Source organism: Homo sapiens, chromosome 11 (genome assembly GCF_000001405.40).
Source record: "Homo sapiens chromosome 11, GRCh38.p14 Primary Assembly".
Taxonomy (NCBI): Eukaryota; Metazoa; Chordata; class Mammalia; order Primates; family Hominidae; genus Homo; species Homo sapiens.
The window spans coordinates 31,406,064-31,420,197 of record NC_000011.10 but is presented as its reverse complement, the minus strand read 5'-3'; the positions used below and the strand labels follow the sequence as shown (position 1 = coordinate 31,420,197).

The window sequence follows — 14,134 nt, the reverse complement described above, 5'->3', positions numbered from 1 at the left end:
CTAAATGGGCCAGGGGATAAAATTCACATTAGGTTTGAAATAGGTAATAAGTCGGAAAAAGTAGCAGGGACAAGCTTAAAAGCTTCTGTCCCATTTAAATTCCAGGTGAATGGGTAGGTGTTATTTTGGGAGGGTATAGAGTTATAAATGTTCTTAAATAGAGGCATGAGAATAAAGAAAGCTGCTAGATCAATCAAAATGTAAAGTACTGTGAGAGAAGGCAGCAATAGAGAATGGAAGGCCAATTAGTGGCTATGGAAATAATCTGGGTATGTTTTATAATCTGGGGATGGACTACTGTGGTAGTTGTGAGAATAAAAGCTCACACAGGGGAAACAACATTAAAAAAGAACAAATGTCAACTGGCATTTCTGATTCATTGACTGTAAATGGAGCAAAGTAGAAGTAAGCAGAGTGTAATATGAAACCAAGGTTGAGGAAAAAATAAGAAAGCTGACTCGGTCAGTCTTGATTTTGGACCCACTGATTTCAATTGGGTCAAGTAACCAAGTGGAAAGTTGGGAGAGTGGTTAAAGTTGGAAAAAAAAAACTTCCTAAAATCTTAGACTGCTCCACTATTAAATCAGAACTACCAAGTCTGTTCAAGTGTCCCAGAATTATAACTGTAATCTTGCCTATAGGTCTCTATAGCATTATTTGAAGGTAGCCAAATTTTTACTCAAAACCAATGAGAAATGATCCTAAAATACATTTTCATTGCACAGTTATTTGCATTCAAGTAAAAGTAGCAAGTAATGTGAGTAGTCATCTTGCAACAAGTAAGTTGGGGCGAGGGAACCTGCACAGAAAGTTTTATCTATACTGTCTTCTCCCACTCAAGATAAAGCCAGTCCCCAACTGTCAAGATGGATTTTCTGCATCATTTCACATACTTACTTTTCTCAGAAACGGTCACCAAAAAAAACATACCCCCCGATGCTTATCTTCCAAGTTTTACCTGAAGCAAATTTTTACAACTAATTTTGAAATTCCTAAAATCAAATGGAAATATTATGACCATAAATGGACCCTAATCTCACTAATTCAAGTATTTTGTAAGGGTCAGCTTTAGGACATAATTACACAAATATCTACTGGCCTTAAGTTATTATTCCTAACAGTTAACCAAAATTTATATTATCTACATATTTCCCTCTTATGGAGTTTCTATAACATTACCATTCTTTTCAGGAAGGATTCTTATTTTGAGTTTAAGAAATTACATGTTGATTTATCTGATACTTGTTGGTGGGGTTTTAAGGTATGTTCCTCATTTGTTTTAAGATTTGCTTATATTTCGTTCCATTTATCTGCTTCCATTTATTTGCTTATCTTCCCAAATATTTATCCTAATAAAGGGATGGAGCAAATTGTGTAATACAAACCAGAAATGACCTCTTGTATCTACCTAAGCAGAGTAGCTGATTAGCTTTGAGCAAAGGCACACTCACTTTACAGTATCTGGCCCAACCTCCTCTGAGCCACGCTGTTTTGGGTATCCAATTATGTATAGTGAAGGTTCTACCTTACCAAAATAATTCACTAACAGAGTAGCTAAGATATATCTTAATATAAAATAATGTATCAGCAAGGATTCCAAACACAATCTATTCTTTTAAACATTATTTAATCTGATTAAATGTATTTCAAGGTTTGCTACTCTTCAGATCACAGAGAAGTACTTAACTCATAAGCTGTGTCACTGTATAGAGCCACTAAGACATCAGAGATCTGTGACTTTCACATTACAAAGCTATTGAATCATGACAACTGTTATTTTCCTATGATATACTTCTGATGTGTTTTTAATGTGCTTAATATATAAGGACAACTCCCCACAAGATTTATAAAGGCAACAAAATCTACTCAACAGGTATTATTCATGTGAACATTTTATAAATCCTGAAAGGGTTTTCCAAAGTGCTACCTAAACAGTAGGTCAATCTCCATTTAAAATTGAAATGCAAAGCCTAATCTTGAAAAACTACATGCCTTTCAGGGGAACACTGGAAGCAGCCTTTGGAGGCATCCTCAGAAACAATAAGTTTAATATGCCAACTAGAACTAATTGATTAAATTCAGAGTTAACATTGCTTTCGAAATGTATAATCTCTGGGAACTAATTATTACTCATTCTTTTCTTAAATTTACTTTTCTTCAGCCTGGCCAACATTGCTCTAAAATGTCAACTAAGCATATAGAAGTAGGAATGAAGGAGAAAAAAACATACATGCAATACTTTGGGTTATCTGCCCTGGAGTATTACTTTTTCTTTATTGGAAAGAACACATATGATCATTTCTTTTGAGAAGCAAAGAAATATGGACGTCAAGTGTCCCTTTAAATTATCTTTTAGATAAATATATGGCTGTGGGCAATATTGATGAGGCTTTCCTTAAGACAGAGCACCAACATGGAGCTATGAAACACGAGAAAGCATTCAAGACCAGCCAATAAAGCATTTCCTACCTCCTTCCCAAGTACTAGAGAGCTCAATTTTATTTTATACTGCAAGTTAATGGTGGGCAGGAAACAAACATATTTAAAGCACACCCCTATGAAAAGAAAGGTTTACAATGAATTATCACCACATGTAAAAAGAGTTCTGTATAACAAAGCTATTTCCATGTCCCCAGGGGGTGACCCAGAAAAAAAGAGTGCTTTGACCTGGTTATAACAAACTCTCTCTCTCGGTAACCTATCCTGGTCTTTAACAAATTATTACTCTCAAAGGTTTTCCTTCTAGCAAACCTAAATCCTCACTTTTAGAGATGTTCAAGTTCATTTCCTTTTTTTGAGGAGCCATTTTACTGAAGCTGAGTCAAGAAGAAAAAATTAATAACGGTATTCAAAAGAAATAACAATATGAAAGTAGGTTTATTGTAAGAGTTTTGAAAAATAGCTCTGGTATGAAAGGCTTAAAAATAGCAAGTTATATTTGGATACTCTTCTTACCTAAACAGTATGTCAATCTCCATTTAAAATTGAAACAAAGTAGTGTCAGTATTTGGAGCCTCTGGTAAAAGAGGCAATACTTAGTACTTAAATCTGAGGTACTAAAGTGTCATGAAAAGCTGTCCTTCTAGAACAGCTAAATTCAGTAATATGCTGCCTGAAAAACTTGCAGAGCAAACTGATATTGTATAAATTCCAAACTATTTATCTGAATCATGAATCAGGTCCAACTCTCACAGTATTTACTTTGTCTAAACTTCATTGTGACTTCATCTATGACCTACAGGAGTACCCTGTGACACAGTAGGCCACAGGTGCTTCCATTAAGATCTTAAAAGTAGGACTCAAAGCTCAAAAGAAATCCGCAGTTCCAAGGACCTTTCGAAGACAATGAAAAAGGCATGAATATGATGATTATTTGTCTTCTGACATCTCTCAAATCTTTCTTCATGCAATTCTCTGCTAACTTTTAACCTGGTTTCCTATTTCTTTTGGTTTCTGGCCTACCCCACCCTGTAGCTTCTTGAGAAAATATTTTTATGATTCCTGATCCCTCCCTACCTCTTTAGAGAGCAGGCTTCTAGTCAACTTCACTAATATGTTCTTAATAGTACACAGGCTGTGGAGTGGCAAAAATGTAGAGCAACATTGAAAGTATATACCCTATACTCTTTAGGGTACAATGTCGTGTGAATTATTTTTATCTCAAGCAAACTGGCATCCTATATAGTAGAGACTAGTAAAGATGTGCAAAAACACCTGAAAGAATCATCATCTTCAGTAGAGCGTAGTGGCTTTAGGAATGTAGATTTCTTCTAACACACAACACATTCATGTGCATTAGTTTCAATTCTTTCATAGAAATCATGTGAACCAAGGTTAAAAAGATACACCAACGGGTAGAACTTATCATCAAACGAAGCCACTTCTACATTCTTTTGCAAAAAGTACAAACATGTTTAAAAAATAAATACATTAGACAGATGCTCATTATGCACCCAGCAAAAGCAGAACCCAATATTCAAGCCATTTTTGAAAATTAACCTTTGCTTTGAAAAGCAAAGGTACACCCATCAGGTTCTTAATATTTAAGAAAAAAATAAGCTCATCAGTCTTTTAAAAAGTAGTAAAGCCTTTGAGCTGATTAGTACTATAAATAAGTCACTCTTATAAACAAATACTCCAGTACATAAACAGTTCAAGTCTTTCCACACAGAAGTATCACACAGCCTATAAGAAACCTTAATTTTCTTGGTAGAAATCCCTCTGAAAATAAATAGGGATGTCTTGCAAATGTCACTGGCTTCATCTTATAATGCTGTGTTTTAAAAATAAAGGCTTGCTTCTCAAATCAAATTTTCATAACCTTAGTACTAACAAAGCCTCAGAATCATTTTGTGAGGTCTGATGGTGTGCCATTGTAGGGCATGGGAGGGGATTCAATAAGCGACTACGAGACAGCTTTTATCAACACATCCCAGTCAATGCTGAGCCTGATATGCTATTGGAGAGAGCGACTGAGTGTTTTCCCCACAGGCTGTAACTGATTATTGACTCCTCCCATTAGCATGTGGGGTGCATATTGAAGGTTCAAACACAAGGCTGAGGGACTCCTGTCCCTAGGCCAGTGCTGAAAGACAGCCTATCACTTCGTGTAACTGCAGTCCATGTGTGACAAACCTGACCTACATTTCCCTCTTTCTTTCTCATAACAGCTTGTCACTGTTTTAAAAAGCTATTTTCTAAAAAGCATAAAAGAAATGACTTTTAAAATTGCTTAGGTAATGTGCATTCCTAAAATATCATTTATACCAATCACAAGGAATAGTTTATCATGAAGATAATCATGAAACCCAGCCTAAAATGAGCTCAAAGACAGCAGAGTGCTTTATGATGTCATCTGATATATAGTATCTTCATTTGGATTGTCATTTATACTGTATAGTCTTAAAAGTACAATTAAAATGTTAATCCATATTTATTTTAATAAAAAGTTTTTAAACATATAAAGCATATTAGTTAGTAATGTGTAATTAAACATTTTTCAAATGTTATAAAAAGTAGCTTTCAAGGCTTCACAAGAAGCCACATCCTAGTAGTTTTGTTAACTTCTCAATGGATACACAATAGTCACTGCTAAGAATAGGGCATAATTAAAAACAGTGATGGAGGGGAGGAATAAAGGCAACAATAACACTTGGTGCAAATGCTGGAAAATGCTCCCCAGGAATGGCTGCAGAGTGTGCTTCTAAGAGTTGCCGATGTGCTGTGGCTCCTCAACACAAGCACCTACCACACCGCTGCAGGTCATACTCTCTTTTTGTCTCTTCATTTCCTAGAATTTTCCATGCTTGATCAATTTCGATGAACTTCTGTACACATTCCTCCACTGTTCCTGCTGGTACATCTGTACTTTGTTTATCTGGATGATACTGCCAATCAAAAAGAAGGGTGCAGGGGGTGAGTAGAGAGAGCTGAGTGGGGTTAGATTTAAAAAAATTGTAAATCTGAGCTTTAGTTAAGAAGGTAATGAGAAGATGAAAACCAAATGCCAAGGCAATGAGACAACAGTGTTGGGCACAGGAGACAACTGCCAGGTTAATTAGACCACTGGACTAGCTATAAATCCACCAGTGACATGATCTGTCACAACGTGCAAAGACAGCATTTTCTGGATAATTTGTTCATGGAATCCTTGGTCTCATGGACAGTTTACCTAGAGAGGATGACTAACACAAATAGAAATAGGTACGTGCAGACAAGCAGGACATGAAACAGGAAGAGCACAAATTAGGCAGAGTATGAAGCTTTCCTTACACAATGTGCCTACCTATAGACAGCATTATAAAATGGACCACTAGGTCTTCCTTATGAAATTATACAATCGTAATTTTAAATAAAAATATATCTAATTATAAACATGACAACTTTCATCTTCTTCCCCAGCCCTGAAGATTATAAAGTTATAAATCCCCAAGCATACATTTTTATTAAAAACTGGTTATTCTAGGCCAGATTTGTAAGAAATAACTTTAAAGAATTCAAACATTTGGATGTAAATTAATTCATTAAAGAATCTTATGTGAATTTTCTAAAAAGTCTAAAAATTTTTGTTTTCAATATGCAGTAATTTATTTATACTACTGGGTCAAAACCAGAAGTTTTATGCCAATTCATAAATTCTTAAATGCTGATATACATGTAGCTCACTAAATAGTTATCCAGTAAGGATCACTTCTATTATCAGTTCTCCTATCTCCTTCCTTCCTTTTCTTCTATGTTCTCTGTGATTCTCCCTTCTCTTTTTATCTAACAGTTCTGAAAGGATCAATATGTCATTTGCTTTTCAGAAATCTCTCAACAAATGTGAAAAGATTATCTAAATTTAGAGACATTTCAGTGAAAAAATCTAGGGTTAACAATAGCACATATTCAGATATGTAAATTTTCTTACTCTCAAGTAAATAAGGAACTCCCAGCCTGCATGATGCTTACCAGGTTCTTTTGTGTAACCAAATATCAGAATAGTATTTGCTGTGCTAGAGAGGATCCTTAGCAGTGTGGAGAAGCTCACCATGAAAATGAATCTATCATTAAAAGATAGTATTTATGGCCGGGTGCAGTGGCTCACGCTTGTAATACCAGCACTTAGGGAGGCCAAGGCGGGCGGATCACAAGGTCAGGAGATCGAGACCATCCTGGCTAACACAGTGAAACCCTGACTCTACTAAAAAGTACAAAAATATTGGCCAGGTGTGGTGGTGGGCGCCTGTAATCCCAGCTACTCAGGAGGCTGAGGCAGGAGAATGGCGTGAACCCGGGAGGCAGAGCTTGCAGTGAGCTGAGATTGCACCACTGCACTCCAGCCTGGGCGACAGAGCAAGACTCCGTCTCAAAAAAAAAAAAAAAAAAAAAAGATAGTATTTATCCAATAATTACTTTGACAGTTTTATATTTTAATTTCAAAAAGTAAACTTAGGAATGTCCTTTTAATGTAGAATAGTTTTTTTTTAATTTCTTACTCTTTTTTCCAAGTTTTTACAATAAACAGGCAAGTAACCATGTGCACATTTCATGACTCATCAGTGTGGTTGGTTCATACATTCCTCAATTAATGGTACAATCATTTAAATTATTTCACTGACTGCCTTATAGACATTATCAGGAGCACAAAAAAAATTGCAAGTACCATGTCATTTATTATCTAAATTGCGAAGGCTAAAGTCACTCAGTAAATTGAGTCAAATACCATGAAGCGAAATGACTTCAATTCTCAATCTAGAATTTGTAATGTATGTAAGTTTTACTTAAATCACAGACTATTTTAAAAATAGATTCATTTTCATGCTGAACTTCTTCACACTTCTGAAATCCTCTCTAGCACAGCAAATGCTATCCTGGTATTTGGTTACACAGAAGAACCTGGTAAACATCATACAGGCTGGGACAAAGATTCTACGGCAAACAATGAGGATTAGGCTTCCATTTTCCCTTTGGCAAACTACCTCCCTTCCTATGAAATCTATCAGTTATCAACATTTAGATATTTAAACTAATATAAGCACTGGAGAAAAGGAAACTAAGGCTTTACTGTTTCATCTTCTTTGCCCATGATTTATCAAATGATGCTCATAAAAATTATTTCTATACTGAGGTTTTGGCAATCTCTAAAGTTGGGATATTAAGGCAATATCCCTAAGCCAAAGTGGAGTTGGCTGCATTAAAGTTCTCTAGCTGACCCATTCCTCTAACACTACACTAAGAATTGTCTAACAAGCTTAGTATAAGTAAATGTTATTATATGTAACATATTCAAATATGCCAGGATACATTTATGATACGTTTACAGGGGAAAACTCTTAATTCAGTATGTCACAAGCATTAAGGCCCTGGAGAACTTGTTCTAAATTTGTATCTATAAAGTAGGAGTAAAGATCAAAAGGTAGGTAATTTGTCATGGGCCAATATAGGAAGTCTGCTTGGTACAATGAATAGAAGAGGTTAGGCCTGATCATGCACCAATCTGACCCAGAAAGCCCTATAAAACCAGGAATTAATTCCTGGCTGCCCTAAACTAAAAAATATTATTAAATTTTATTATGAGTCACAAATCAGTTCTATGATAGTCAAAGTACAATTCAATCTCTTTCCCTAATTTGGTATTTTCCTGATTATTAATTGAAATAAGGTGCTCGCCATCTGAGGCTTTAAGTCTATTCAGATTCCATGACATTTATTTAATGGGTACATTCCATTAAAAAATGACACTTATAGCAAGAAAATAAGTATATCATTTGGGATGCTTAAAGCCTTGGTCCAATGTGTTTTGACAGCAACTTGCAGAGCAAAGTGAAGGTCTAAGAAAAGGAGTAACTGTCTGTGGTAGGCTGATAATGGCCCCCAAATATATAAAGTCCCAATATCTGGTACCTGTAAATGTTACTTTATTTGGAAAATGGGAGTTCACAGATATGATTACGTTGTAGTTCATGAAATGGGAAGATTTTGCTGGATTATCTGGTTGGGCTCTAAATGTATTCAAAGTGTTCTTAGAAGAAAGAGGCAGAGAAAGAGCTGACACACAGAAGAGACGGTGATGTGAAGACAGTGGAGAGAGAGAGATCTGAAATGCTGCCCTTGAAGACTGGAGTGAAGTGGCCACAAGCCAAGGAATGCCTGCAGCCTCCAGAAGCTGGAAAAGACAAGCAATGGATTCTCCACCAGATCCTCCAGAGGGAGTGCAGCGCTGCCAACACTTTGAACTCAGCCCAGTTATAATTATTTTGGACTTCTCCAGAACTATAAAAGAATAAATATTTGAAACCACCCAAGTTTCTGACAGTTTGTTTTTACTGCTATGAGAAATTAAAACCCAGTCCAAATATATTTATGATTTAAAATTGGAATGCAAGACACTAGAATGTTTTAAGAAGTTTCAATTACAAGGGCTACTCATAAAATGGTGTCATTACACACATTCTTAAAAATATGGTATTTTTCTCTATTGCCAATGGGAAAACAAGCCCCTAATCCTAGGTTTAAAGACTTTCCGATCTCAAAGTCTATGTTAATTTTGTTCCTACTATTTCTAAATCTGACCTATCCTGTGGGAGGTCGACTCATTATGATCCTAAAAGACCACAGTCATTTTCCTTCTGTTGTCAAGTCTTATTTTTTTTCTTGCCCTTAATTTCTTTTAATCCCCACTAGCCAAAGACCTTCCTACTCTTGAGAGCCCAAAGCTAGTCCCACTTCATTCATTCACCTATCAAATAAAAGACAGATGTAATCTAAAGCATTAATTAATATATCAGTTTAGGGAAAATGGACAAACTGATATATTAATACAATCCCTATCAAAATTTCAGCAGTAATCAAGACTGTAGTACTAGCATAAAGATAGCCTAGAAACAGACCATACATATATGGTCAACTGAGTTTCAACAAGGCTGCCACAGCAATTCAATGAGGAAAGGTAAGTATATAACAAATTGTTTCGAAACAACTGGATATCCCTGTGGGAGAAAAAATAACCTCAATCCTTCTAATTCCATAAACCAAACTTAATTCAGAATGAATCATACACATAAAAGTAATCCATAAAGGCAACAAGAGAATATCTTTGCCTCTTAGGGTAGGCACACAGTGCTTTGACAGAAAATAAAAAGCATAAACTGTGTAACACAAAACTGATAAACTGAACTTCATCAAATTTTAAAACCTTCTGCTCATCAAAGATACCACTAAGGAAATGAATAAACAAGCCACAGACTGAGAGAAAATACTGGCTGCATATATTTCTAACAAAGGACTTGTATCAGAATACATGAATAAAACCTATAAATCAATGATAAAAAGACAAAACTAATTAAAAACCAGATGAATAAAATTGAACAGATACTTTTTCAAAGAAAACTGATGAACAGACAGTGTGCACATGAACTTTTTTATTAGTTATTAGGAAATAAACTTTTTATTAGTTATTAGGAAAATGCAAATTAAAATCACAATGAGATATTACTACATATCTAAAAGAATGGCTAAAATAAAAATGACTGGCTGGGTGTGGTGGTGGCTCATGCCTGTAATCCCAGCACTTTGGGAGGCCAAGGTGGGCAGATCACCTGAGGTCAGGAGTTTGAGACTAGCCTGACCACCATGGTGAAACCCAGTTTTACTAAAAATACAAAAATTAGCCAGGTGTGGTGGCACGCACCAGTAGTCCCAGCTACCCAGGAGGCGAGGCACAAGAATTGCTTAAACTGGGGAGGTAGAGGTTGCAGTGAGCGGAGATGATGCCACTGCACTCCAGCCTAAATGACACAGCAAGCCTCTGTCTCAAAAAAAAAAAAAAGAAAAAGAAAAAAAAATGCTGATAACACCAAGTGTTGATAAGATATGAAATAACCAGAATTCTCATATACTGCTGACAGGAAACAATTTGGCAATTGCTTATAAAGTTACATATACATTTACTCCATGATCAATAAAAATGAAAATCACACATCCACGAAAAGATTCATAGAAGAATAGATTAACAGTCTTATTCATAACAGTCTTACTAAAACACTGGAACCATAAATGTCTATCAACTGCAGAATAGGTAAATACATTTTATTTAAATCCATAGAAGAGAAATATTCCTCAACAATTAAAAAAGAACAAATTATGACACACTCAATAACACAAATGAGTATCTAAAATATATGTTAAGTAAAAGAAGCAAGAACAAAAAGTACATACTGTATGATTACATGAACATGAAATCCCAATTTAGGTACATTTAATCTGTGGCGACAGAAACCAAAAAGTTGGTTTCCAGGTGAGAACAGGTAGTGGAAATTAAGAAAGAGGGGCATGAGGGAACTTGCTGGAGGCACAGAAATGTGCTATATCTTATTTGGGGTGGTATTTACATGATATCAAACTCACCAAACTTAACACTTAAGATCTGTGCATTTTTCATTTTATGTTGACAATATCAACAGAAAAACATCTTCAGACATGTCTAAATTTTTAAAAAGGAATTTAGCAAATCTTTCTAAGCCATAAAGGAAAAATAAGGAATTTCTTCCATTAATAGAAAAACAAGTACAACAGAAAACCAAAAAATTAATGGAAAAACTAACATGAATTAGTGAAAAGCTTGAATTACACACTAGTTTATGGAAATTGTTTTATTACTTTCAAGCACATTTGCCAACTCTAATAACTTCAAAACATTTTAAAAGGCTAAGCATTGTTGAGTAGAAAGCCAAAATGCATCCAAAATTAAAATACCATAAATATGTCACAATATTAGAAATACTGAGAGTGATAGTATCTGTGTGATTCTTTATTATACAAAGACATCTATTTCCAAAATTTCAGTAAAGTGCTATTTTATTACTCTGAAATGACTTCACACCTATAACTGTATGATCTAAGTAATTTCCTCAAATTTTGGGGAAAATTTTCAATTACATAAACTTAAATTCTTCTTTAAATTACCATATCATTCATTGAGAATAAGAAAAACTAACACAAAAATAGATTAAGAAACTTTCTTGATACAAAAATAAAGGATCATTCATGGTACTACAAAAGATATACAGGAAATGATATAATATTTCATCAGGATTGGTATGTGTTATCTGTTTTCTAAATGACTATTTCATGGATAAGTAACACTTCAGTTATGAAATCTTAATTCTCATCAGCTGAGATTTTATGGCAATGGGCTGTCCAGTATGAAATATTTTATTTTGATTTTAAAGTCTCTCTACATATTAAGTCTAAGTGCTTTCTAAATTACTAATTCCAGAGTGACTGTCACAATGTGTCACCTCAGTGCTACTCAAAATGTGGTCCTCAGAACTGCAGCATCAGCATCATCTGAGAGCTTGTTACAAATATCAATTCTTGGGACTCACCTCAAATCTTCAGAGGGAGGACTCCAGAATCTCTGTTTCACCAAGCTCTCCAAGCAACTGTTACGCGTGCTAAAATTTGAGAAGCACACTGTTTGCCTTGACTGCTTAAAACAAGGAATTCATGGGCAAGTCAGAAGATGAGTGCTTCACAAAAATTTTCCTGTGACAGATGCGTCCTTCCAAGTATGTACACCAAAAAGAGGGGGAAAAAATCCAATAACCTGTAACACCACAATGAAAATTGCAATGTGTTTCAAGTCGGAATTTTTTTTATATTTGATACCTTTCGTTCACTAATCATAAATGTCAACTTCTTCATTCCACTGTTTGTATTGATACCATCTTATGTCACAGATGAAGATGCTGATGAAATGTGAACAATATGCCAGTGGTATTTTAACCTGTTTATTTTTTTTTTTTTAAGAGAGGGGCATAATTTGTATCAGGCTTCACCTACTTAACACTAATGATGATACCCACTGATAAATTTAGCACAGAAACAAGTTTTTCAACTAAGAAATGAAGCATGTAAAATTATGAAAATAGCATCATACAATGCAGTGTGAAAATTCTAGCAACTTCTAAAAGATTTTAGTGAAAAATTTTATATATATATATATATATTTTTTTTTTTTTTTTTTTTTTTGAGATGGGATCTCTCTCTGTCATCTGGGCTGGAGTGTAATGGAGTGATCCTGGCTCACTGCAACCTCTGCCTCCCAGGCTCAAGCGATCCTCCCGCCTCAGCCTCCCAAGTAGCTGGAACCACAGGCATATACCACCGCACCTGGCTAATTTTTGTATTTTCTGTAGAGATGAGGTTTCCATATTGCCCAGGCTGGTCTCCAACTCCAAGACTCAAGTAATCCATCCACCTTGTGAATATTATATATTCATTAGCTCCAAATGATATTTTCTATTGGCTACACAACATATAAAGTTGAAATGAAATGATATTTCTTTACAGTAAACACGTAAGAGTTTTATGGTAAAGTGGCTACATATATTAATCCTTAACTACACACTTGTGATTGTGCTGTTTTGATACATAAAATATAAACTATACATAAGAAGTAACAATAAACCATGAAAAGGACTCTGGGCAAATCTGATTACACAGAAATCCCCAAATAGGCTAATATTACTTGATTTATCAATGTGGCACTTGAGGACATAGCACTTTGGTTTTCCCTATGTATTAATAGATGAGTTTTAGTACCATCAATAGGATGCTAGCTCTCTGTCTCTAGCTTCAAATTTTCTTGAATTCTAGAACCAAATTTTGAAATACTTTCTAGAAGCTACCTTGTCAGCACAAGTTTAATATGTTTGATATCCAATATATTATCCAGACTCTAAAATTTGTTTATCCTCCTGTTGAATTCCTTGCTCTGTTAAAAAATAACTCCACGCTCAATAAATGCTAAATGAATGGATGAGAGGGGAAAAATTTTTCTAATAATCCAGACTATCAATATTAGGGTAACCCCTCTTTCCCTCCTCCCATGAACTGCCAAATCTATAGATTATACCTACATAATTTCCTTTCTATTCCCAATACCAAACCTAGTACAGACCAACATTAGCTCCTAACTAGTCCCCAGCAATCATCTTCTAACAGCTTTCCAATCCATCTTACCTGCTTCAAAGTCACTCAACATAACTCTGACCATGTCATTCCCCAGCTCATAAATTTTAAAGGGCCAACTAATGCATAGTGAATTACAGTGAAACTCTTTATCCTTAAAAGTAAAGTCCTACAATATAAGAACCACAACCTACCATTCAAGCTTTATCTATTACAAGTATTAAACACTGAATATATAAACACCGTATTTTAACTATATCCATATCTGTGCAAAGATCAGCACAGTGCCTCTTCGCACAAGTATCCTTCATAAATATTTGTATATTTAAGCTGTGTGTTTAATATTTTCCCCAAAAGTACAAAATATGAAACTTACTGATTTTAGTCAGCAACATACAGGAGGAGAGATAAATTTTAGGTTTAGTCTGAGGTACTGCACTTAAGTGCCTTTTCTCTCATACTCTTTCCTAGTGAACAAGTATTTACTATGTCATTCTATTACATTGAAACTATGAAAAAATGATATGAAAATGCTTCAGCCCAATGATCTCCCTTCAAATACTTTTCAAATTGAGGAATGAGATATAGAGGAAACAAACACTAAGAGGAATGCATTCAAAAGAATACATTTGGAAAAAAAAAAGGATTTGTAGCTGCTATGATTTGAACGTGTGCCCAA

General features: G+C 34.9%; 1 protein-coding gene across 1 annotated transcript in view, besides 1 other annotated feature; it reads right to left on the bottom strand.

Moving 5' to 3' along the window:
- DNAJC24 (DnaJ heat shock protein family (Hsp40) member C24) overlaps positions 1-14,134 on the bottom strand; it is a 62,976-nt gene that overhangs the window by 12,638 nt on the left and 36,204 nt on the right. Inside the window, exon 3 of the mRNA NM_181706.5 lies at positions 5,249-5,387. Coding sequence (NP_859057.4) covers positions 5,249-5,387 — 139 coding nt within the window. The remainder of the gene's footprint in view (positions 1-5,248; positions 5,388-14,134) is intronic.
- Positions 5,550-5,750: a silencer, noted in NCBI's record as "peak1237 fragment used in MPRA reporter construct". NCBI's record gives its function as "represses an SCP1 promoter by STARR-seq MPRAs in K562 erythroleukemia cells {active_cell/tissue: K562}" and the evidence as "EXISTENCE:reporter gene assay evidence [ECO:0000049][PMID:32103011]".